This window comes from Homo sapiens, chromosome 9 (assembly GCF_000001405.40).
Source record: "Homo sapiens chromosome 9, GRCh38.p14 Primary Assembly".
Lineage (NCBI taxonomy): Eukaryota > Metazoa > Chordata > Mammalia > Primates > Hominidae > Homo > Homo sapiens.
In genome coordinates this window covers 38,250,245-38,259,741 of record NC_000009.12, presented here as the reverse complement: position 1 = coordinate 38,259,741, position 9,497 = coordinate 38,250,245, and the positions used below count along the sequence as shown (strand labels likewise).

Genomic DNA, 9,497 nt, shown 5'->3' with positions numbered 1-9,497 from the left:
CATTCAGAGTGGCTAGGGAAGGAGCTGTGAAGCAAGGAGCAGACAGTTGGATTCCTATGACCTGGTCCAAAGATGCAGATTCAGAGCCAACTCCCTGGCCCACCAGACTTTAGCACCTCTTATCTCCCTTGGATGTCTACACTCAGGCCTCATTGCCCACCTGTGGAGGGGCCACCATCTGCAGATGGGCGATGGGGCCTGAGTGGGAACATGAGCGCTCTCCAGCCTCAGTGAAGCTCAGCCTTCACCCAACTGTGTATCATACATAGCACCCCGGTTAAGAATGAGGACAATGGACACAGACACCCTGGTTCCAGACCTGACTCTGGCCGTCTTCACGTGTCTCCTGTTGCTTCTGTTGTGATAAATTTCAAATATAATGCAAACTAGAGAGAGAGGAGCTGCTGCTGGCTCTGCTGAGTTCCTTCTCACCTTACACAACCTGAGCTTTATGACCTAGAGCAAGGTACTTCCCTCTGAGCCTCAGGTTTCTGTCTGTAAAGAGCCATACAAATGGCAGATAGTGGGGTGTTACAATTGACCTATGAGCTTGGGCAGGCCAGGTGAGCCCAGGTAAATGGAAGCCCCTACTACCATTTCATGTGGCCCCTCCCTCTTGAATTCATGCCCAGTCATTATCTCCATCACCCTCTTAATCCTCACCACAGCCTTGGGAGGGGGTGTGGCCGTACAGGAATTATTAACCCCTTTTACAGATGAGAAAATTGAGGGGTAAAGCAGAAAACTGGCCTGCCACATCCCCATGAGGGAGCCTGGGTTTCTGACTCTCTCTGTGCCTGTCCTTCTGTTTAACGTGTTAATTTATGGTGAACTCTCACATGTGGAGAGGAAGAGGGTAGAGCCTCGTGGCTAAAAGCCAGTTAGGAGCCAGCCCACCTGGGTTCCAATCCACCTAGTAGCTCTGCAGCTACTAGGGCAAGTCACCTAACCTCTTTGTTCCTTGGTTTCTTTCTAAGTAAAATTAGTATTCCGAGAGTACTTACACTGTTAATAATAGCAACATTAGTATTATTATAATACATTGTGAGAATTAAATGAGTGAACACAGGTAAAACAGAATGACCTAGAACATAGTAGGTGCTATGGTTTAAGGGTGTCCCCCAAAATTCGTGTGTTGGAAATTTAATCCCCAACACAACAGTATTGGGAGGTGGGGCCTAATGGGAGGTGCTTAGGCCGTGAGGGCTCTGCCCTCATGAATGGATTAATCTGCTATAAAGAGGATTGTGGGAGTGAGCCCTCTCTCTTCTGTTCCTCCTCCATGTGAGGACATAGTGCTCCCCCCTCCAGAGGATGCAGCATTCAAGGCACCATCTTGGAAGCGGAGGGCTCTCTTGCTGAGAACGTGAGGCTGAATGAGGGATGCAGAACTGCATGAGGCCACTGGATACCTTCCCTCCAGTGGATGCAGGACTTGAGAGGAGGTGAGTCTGGCTGGTCTGGGTGATGCCTGCTTGGAGCTACCTTTGCCAGCAGCCACAGGAATGTGCATTTCCCAAACCCCTTCCCAGTTGCCCTGACCCCTGGCAGAGTTAGGCAGGGGAGCCACATTTTCCCACAGCTCACAGTGCCTCTCCAGCAGTGGCTGCAGAAAGGCCTCTTTTTGTTTAGACTCTGTTTCCAAGGTCCGATCTCCTCAGCCAGCAAGGCTCTTCAGCTAATGATGTCCGTGGAGACAGAGGAGGCTGCTACACATAGCCTTGCCCAGGAGTCGCCCCAGGGAGAGCCATTTGCCAGGGGCAGTTTGGCCTGCAGTGGAGCAAGGTTGGTGAGCACATCCCCAGGGGCAGGAGGCCTGAAAGTCAGGGCTGAAGGAGCCTTTTCACGAGTATCCTGCAGCCGCCTCCTCCTTTTACTCAAGGAGGGGAGACAGGCCCAGAGACCTCTGTCACCAGGAGTCAGGGCAGAGCCAGGCCTGCAATGCAGGGCTGCTGCCTGCTCCATCCCCCTGGACAGTGGACCCCAAACTTGAGCAGGCATCAGCATCACCTGGAGGGCTTGGTTAATCACTGACCGAGGGGCCCCACCTCCAGGTTTTGATTCAGTAGGTCTGGCATGAGGCCTGGGGATTTGCCTTTTAACAAGTTCCCAGTGATGCCTATGCTGCTGGTCCAGGAACTGCACTTTGAAAATCATTATTTAGGAAGCTGCCTTGTGCCTAGAAAGGTGGGATGGAGCCCAAGAATGAGGTGCCGAGGAGGTAGGAATAGCAACTGCTTTCTGGAAGGAAATGGAGGACAGAGTAAAAATAAACTTGAAGGTTCTAGGATGGGCAGGCTTCAGGGGGAGGCTGGGCGGAGGAGGAAGAGGTGGAGCCGGGGTCCATTCAGACTAGAGTGAGGCAAGGTGCCTGGAAAACAAAACTTAAGAGACACTCACTCTCAGGTTTGTACAGGCACAAGGTCAGCAGCTGCAAGAACCTGAGAAGGACTGTCTCTTTAAATATTGTGGGCTGGGCGTGGTAGTTCACACCTGTAATCCCAGGACTTTGGGAGGCCAAGGCAGGCGGATCACGAGGTCAGGAGATGGAGACCATCCTGGCTAACACAGTGAAACCCTGTCTCTACTAAAAATACAAAAAAAAATGAGCCAGGTGTGGCGGCGGGTGCCTGTAGTCCCAGCTACTTGGGAGGCTGAGGCAGTAGAATGGCGTGAACCCGGGAGGCGGAGCTGGCAGTGAGCCGAGATTGCGCCACTGCACTCCCACCTGGGTGACAGAGCCAGACTCCGTCTCGAAAAAATAAATAAATAAATAAATAAATAAATAAATAAAAATAAAATAAACACTGTGCGCTAGCACCTGACTTGCTTCATTCCAGTCCCAGCTCTGCCCCTGAGGTCCCCATGTGTCTGTCAGGCTGTCAGGTCAGCAGTGCACTCAGTGTTTTCATGAGTAGCGACCTTCTGTGGGGCTCTGCATTCCTGATGGAAAACTCTTCTTGGTTAGAAGCATGACATTTAAAAGCCTAGGCCAGGAGGAAGGTAGGTGCACATGTGTGAAAGTGAGAGAAAGAGAAGACCTGGAAAGAAGGCAGCCAAAGTGACATACAGCAGTGTGTAGACTCCCTGCTAATTAAAGTGTGCTTCTTGGAACAGTGGCATCAACACCACCAGGGGAGCTTTAAAAAATTCCAGTGCCCAGGCCACACCCCAGAATCTACATTTTAGCAGGATTGCCAAGTGATGTAGGCACAGGAACATTGGGATCACCTGGAGAGTTTCATAAAATACTGATGCCTGGGCCGTGACCCAGAGATTCTGAAATCATTGCTCTGGGTTTGGCGTGTGCTCCGGGGTTTTAAAACCTCCCACGTGTTCTCAGGTGCCACGTAGTCTGAGCATCATTGGTGTAGACAGCTTCAGAGGTCTTTAGAATTGGTGTTGGAGGCAATGTGACATAGTAGAACTCACACAGGATTTTAGTATTTGGAGTGCAAATTCCAATCTTGACTCTGCCACTAACTAGCTATGTTGGCCTTGGCCAGATCATTTTTCTCTCTCAATTTCCTCAACAGTCAAATGGGAATATTAACAACCTCCCTGGACCAAAAAGTTAATTATGATTAATTATTAGAGTTCAAGGGAGTCTTGGGTAACATTTAGTCATGGATCCTCAATTTTACCCTTGAGAAAGCTTAAGACCTCTCTGGGTTTCAGTTTCTCCACTTGTAAAATTTAGAGATCGGACCACTAAGGGCTGGTTATGGTTTAAATGTGTCTCCCAAAAGCATATGTTGGAAACTTAATCCCCAGTGCAAGTGTTGGGAGGTGAGGACTAAAGAGAGAGGATTAGGGCATGAAGGTAAAGCAAATGTATTAATGCCATTATTGTGGGAGTGGGCTCCTTATAAAAGGACAGGTTCACCCCCCTCTTGATCTCTCTCACCTTCACTTTGCCTTCTGCCATGGGATGACGCAGCAAAAAGGCCTTCTCCAGATGTGGCCCCTTGATCTTGGACTTCCCAGCCTCCAGAACCATGAGCCAAAATATCCGTTCATAATACCCAGTCTGTGGTATTATGTTACAGCAGCATAAAACAGAGTAAAAGAGGCCTTTCTCGAACCCACTGTGCATGTTTCTCCCCTTGTGCAATGGTTCCTTCTGGCAGCAATTCCTGCCCTATCTTTCTTAATCCAGTGCTTCCTGCCTTTCCACTCAAGAGTGGCTCCAGCACCCCTTCCTCCAGGGTTCCCTCTCCCTGCATCCTTCATCCTGGTCTAATTAAACTATAGGTTTACATCTCTTATAGGCTGAGTTTACATCTTTTAGGGAACCTTCCCTGACTCTCTCCTATCAGGCCCAGGTTAGAGGCACCCTATTCTCCCTAGTCCCTCTAGCCCTTTCTCTTGTCTGATCACCAAACGGATTATAAGAGCCCTGTGGGCACTCTCCCTGTCTACATTGTATCTCCAGTAGGTATTCATCAATTAAGTGTCTGAGAGTTAAAGGAACGGCATTGGGAGTCTGTGATCAATTGATTTCACAATGAACTCTTGCTCAAAACTTGTAGCCTTTGCCATCTCGATTCAACTCAATGTGTAGAAGGTAACTGAAGCATGAGGAAGGTCTCATTAATTTCATTAATTTAGGTCTCTTCCCTCCTGACACTAACCTCAATTATCTAACTGCTGGAGGAACAGTTTTCTGGATGGTGAAAGAGCAACTGATTTATAAGCCTCGGTGGATCTCAGCCATAACCTCTGTTTAGAAAGCACTTTCCTATCTGCTGGCTGCGGCTGGAAAGATGGCAGGGCTGGAATGGTTATAATCCCACAACAACAGGAATTGCTTGAGGGCTGGCATTGTGTCTGTTTGGTTCACTGAAGTATCCTTGGCACATGGTAAGCACTCAGTAAATATTAATATCTGCTCAATAAGAAGCCTCATATCAATACAGATGACAGAAAGAGAGACTTTGGAGGGCTGGGTGGCTCACCCAAGCCCACAAAGCTGGAGCTTCAGAACTGAGAAGTCCCAACTTCCTGTGCAAGGCCCTTTCTACTCTCCAGGACATGCAGTATCTGACCTGGTGCAGAATTTATGCTCCAAAATGTACCAACTTTTTATGTCCCTTTCACTCACACCGCATCACTTCAAGGGCTGGAGTGATGGTACTCAATGCTGGTGCCTTGCAGAAGTCTTAGGAACACATTTTCCCACAGCCCAGCATCTTTGGCTTCGGCCCCTGTGGAGCCAATGTGCTGGTGTGATTGAGCGTGCCCAGTGACAGTCTGCTTTCTGGTTAGATTCGTAACTGCCCATCTCACTGTAAGCACAAAGCAAAAGGGTCCCCCCACCCCCTGCTCCAGCCCTCAGCTCAGCATCTGGCAGGGACACTTAGTGCTCAAAGAGAAGAGCAAAGAGAGGCTAAACGAAGCATTTTGCACTTTCTTCTAAGTCAGGCAGGGGCAGATGGTGGCTGTGACATGGCAATGGCAGGGGGATCAGTCAGCGTGAAAACCATCCCCTCCCTTATCCTCCAGCAGTAATTGATGGGAAACCATGACACCTGCCCAGAGAAGTCAACGGCCAGCTCCCGATCACATTTCCCAGTTTCTTTTAACACTTGCTGTTAACAGGACAGTTGGTGACCTATAGAGGATTTGGCTTTTAGTCTTAGCTCCACCACTAACTTACCAATTCAACCTGAGTAAGTCAGTCTATACTATCCAGGAAAAGCTGCCTTAAAGGAGTGGAAATGAATGACAGCAGTAGCGATTATTAGTATAGTACTTGATAATTTTTAAAGTACGTTCACATACATCATTTCATTTAGTCTTGAGAGCAAGCCTGTGTGCCCATTTTGCAGAGGAGCAAGTAGAAAAATGGGTTAAAGACTTGCCCATGGTCAGTCGCACAAGCCTATGAGGCATGACAGGGACTTGAATCCATGTATTCTGACTAAAACTCTCATTTTTTCCTTTTTTTTTTTTTTTTTAATTTTGCTTTGGTCTTGTTCTGTCACCCAGGCTGGAGTGCAGTGGCATAATCACAGCTCACTGCAGCCTCAACCTCCTGGGCTCAACCAGTCCTCTCATCTCAGCCTCCCAAGTAGCTGGGACCTCAGGCATATGCCACCATGCCCAGCTAATTTTTGTAATTTTTGTAGAGACAGGGTTTCACCACATTGCCCAGGCTGGTCTCCAACTCCTGGGCTCAAGTGATCCACCTGCCTCAGAGTCACAAAGTGCTGGGATTACAGGCGTGAGCCACTGTACCCGGCCTCACTTTTTTCTCTTCGTTTCCAGTCAACTGACTTGGACAAACATTTCCTGATCATATACTGCATGCAAGGCATTGTGAACAAGACAACACGTGAACAGGCCATGGTTCCTGCCCCCTAGAAGCCCAGAGTCCAGTGGCAGGATCAGGCACATACTTTACCAGCAACCCTGTGGGGAAGGGACCAAGCAACAGAGGGTGGCCACAGCAGAAGTGTTACAGGACAGGGGTCCGGATCCAGACCCCAGGAGGGGGTTCTTGGATCTCCTACAAGAAAGAATTCAGGACGAGTCCGCAGTGCAAAGTGAAAGCAAGTTTATTAAGAAAGTAAAGGAATAAAAGAATGGCTACTCCATAGACAGAGCACCCCTGAGGGCTGCTGGATGCCCATTTTTATGGTTATTTCTTGATGATATGCTAAACAAGGGGTGGATTATTCATGCCTCCCCTTCTTAGACCATATAGGTCGACTTACTGAAGTTGCCACGGCATTTGTAAACTGTCATTGCGCTGATGGGAGTGTAACAATGAGGATGACCAAAGGTCACTCTTGTCACCATTTTGGTTTTGGTGGGTTTTGGGCGGCTCCTTTACTGCAAACTGTTTTATCAGCAAGGTCTTTATGACCTGTATTTTGTGCTGACCTCCTATATCATCCTGTGACTCAGAATGCCTTAACTGTCTGGGAATGCAGCCCAGTAGTGTTCAGCCTCATCTTACCCAGCTCCTATTTAAGATGGAGTTGCTCTGGTTCACAAGCCTCTGACAGAAGGTGTGGATGGCCCTATCAGTGTGGAGTGGGTATGGCTGCATGAAGGGGGTGATGTGTAACACTCCCTGGAAGAAGGAGTAGGGGCTCAGTAGGAAAGAGAGAGGGTGGAAGAGTCAGAGACATGTCACTGTCAGACACTAGGAGTGTGCAGAGGGGACAGAGGGTTCCCAGTGTCCAAAGATACAGTAGGAGGGAAGGCTGGAAGTTTCACTGACCCAGAGCAGAAAGAGACCAAAGAATTCAAATTTCTTTCTGCATGTGGCTGGGAAATTGAAAGGCTTTAAACACTGTCACCTAGCTCAGATTTACTTTAAAAATTAGTTTTAAAATGATGTTCTTGCACATATTGTTTACAAACAGAAGCAAAGGGAAAAATAAAAGTTACCTTTAATCACCTTGTCCAAAGATAACCAATATTTTCTATGAATAGATATATTTTTCTAAAATGTCATCATACAGTTAATATTCCTTTGTAAACTTTTTTTATTATTTTGTGAACATCTTTCATGACATTAAATATCCTTCTTCAACCATGGTTCTAATTTTTGGAGACTCATAGACTCCTCTAAAGATCTGATGAGCACAGACCCTCTCCCCAGAAAATGCACATTCCCAAATACACACCCGTCATGTCTGCCAGACAGAAATGCGGGCCCAGGGTTGCCATTTCTTTGGATTCTTCTAGAGAGCTGGAAATACATTTCTCATGTTAAATCTTCTGATTTTTAAAGGTTGGCAACTAACTCAAAATATTAAAAAATAAAAGCAAAACAAAAACTCTGTGGGGACCAAATAAACTTGTTGAAGGTCTCAGTCTCTTCTGGGGAAGCTGGTTTATAATCTCCGGCCAAGGCCAAGGTTGAAGGGATTTAGGGCTTATATAGTCAGATATGTTTCCAACCTCATCTCCCATGCCACACCTTCTCACAGAGCCAAAACGCTCTCCACAATTCCCACTCCCACACCTCTGCTCATGCAGATTTCACACATGAAATGCCCCCCACTGTCCAAATCCCACCCAATCTTTGCAGGGCTTTACGACTCTGCTCCTTGGACACTTGCCATGCCTCTCTCTGTTCCTGGCCACTTGTCCCCTGCTAGACTGGGAACTCCTAGAAGCAGCACCATTTGATTCATCTCTTTGTACCCACCCTCCCCCATGCAGGACCCCCAAAGAGGCTGGAGTGGATGCTCAGGAAGCACTATCAGGGGTGTCAGACCCATCAGCATTTATCCTGGTGCAAGTGAATTCTTCCCTAAAGCAGACAGATGGATAATTACAGCCTGGCTTTAGCAATCTGCTATGCATTCACCCCTCAGGGTGTGTGAATTGCTGTGGAGTTCTTATGGGGGAAGGGGAGGACCAGAAAGTGACTCTAAAAGGAAGATTTAAAAGGAGGAGCAAAGGTAGAAAAGCTTTTGTAAAAATCTGGAGCCCTGCCTTTAAGCCATGGAGAAAAGAAGACAGAACCAGACAGGTGCAATCAGGAGGCCCAGCCCTGCCCTGCCATGACTCTGGACAGGAGGCTTCCCCTCTCTGAACAGAAGGTGCATAGCCAGATCACCTCCTAGGGCCTCTCCTTTCCAAGATAATAAGATGCTGCACGGCAGTCAAGGGGATTTATGGTATCCCTGGTTAACCCAATCCAGAGGCTACAGGCACTGACTTCCAGTGGTCTCTCTCTCTGATGGGGCCTCTAGAAGGGAAAATGTTTAGCCAGGAGCTGTCCCACAGAGCCCATTAGCACAGCTGCCCCTGCTAACCCTAGAGGCGATTGCTTGGTGAGGTCCTGCAGGCCCCAAAATGTTTCCAGGCCAAGGGAGATCATGCTGCTGGGCAGACTCCAGGACCAGCTCGAAATTCCTCCCGTGGCATCGAGAAGCAGTGCTAAGATAGTTAGTACCTACAGGACCTTGAACAGGCCACAAAAACTCCCTGAGCCTCAGTTTCTCCATCTGTAAGATGTGAATGATAAACCCAGTTCTGCTTGACAGTTGAGATTTTGACATTAAAAAGTCCAGCACAGAGCCTGGCACATGGCAGATGCCTAAGAAATGTTAGGCCTCCTTGTCTGTTGGGCCTCAACTTGATAGGAACAAGTCAGACTTTGGACACAGCCCCAGGCAATTCTGCAGATACCAGGAACCCGGCTTTACCTTCAACAGAAAGACCCCAGCCTTGCCGTGATTCAGTCTTAGCGAAAAACATCCTAGCAGGACAAGCGGGCATAGGATGGTGACTGCAGTGGGGAGAATTGAATGCCAAAGGGAGAAGAGAAGCTGGATCGGGTGTGGAGTACATGAAACCCCTCACTGGGTGTCCGAGATTGTTAGTCACAGTGACCCCAGCCAAGGGGCTTTCTTAATTATCTGGACCAAGCCTCAGACCCTGAGCAGGGCCCAGCTGGCACTTTCCAATGGCAAAGACTGGTGACCCCATGAGAAGGGACATTAGACAGAGTGAAGCTAGAACCCCCAGTT

General features: G+C 48.2%; 2 annotated features.

Moving 5' to 3' along the window:
• Positions 1,194-1,756: an enhancer, noted in NCBI's record as "H3K4me1 hESC enhancer chr9:38257983-38258545 (GRCh37/hg19 assembly coordinates)". NCBI's record gives its function as "activates a minimal SCP1, AML or CMV promoter by ChIP-STARR-seq in naive H9 embryonic stem cells {active_cell/tissue: H9 hESC(naive)}" and the evidence as "EXISTENCE:reporter gene assay evidence [ECO:0000049][PMID:30033119]".
• Positions 6,864-7,064: a silencer, noted in NCBI's record as "peak7238 fragment used in MPRA reporter construct". NCBI's record gives its function as "represses an SCP1 promoter by STARR-seq MPRAs in K562 erythroleukemia cells {active_cell/tissue: K562}" and the evidence as "EXISTENCE:reporter gene assay evidence [ECO:0000049][PMID:32103011]".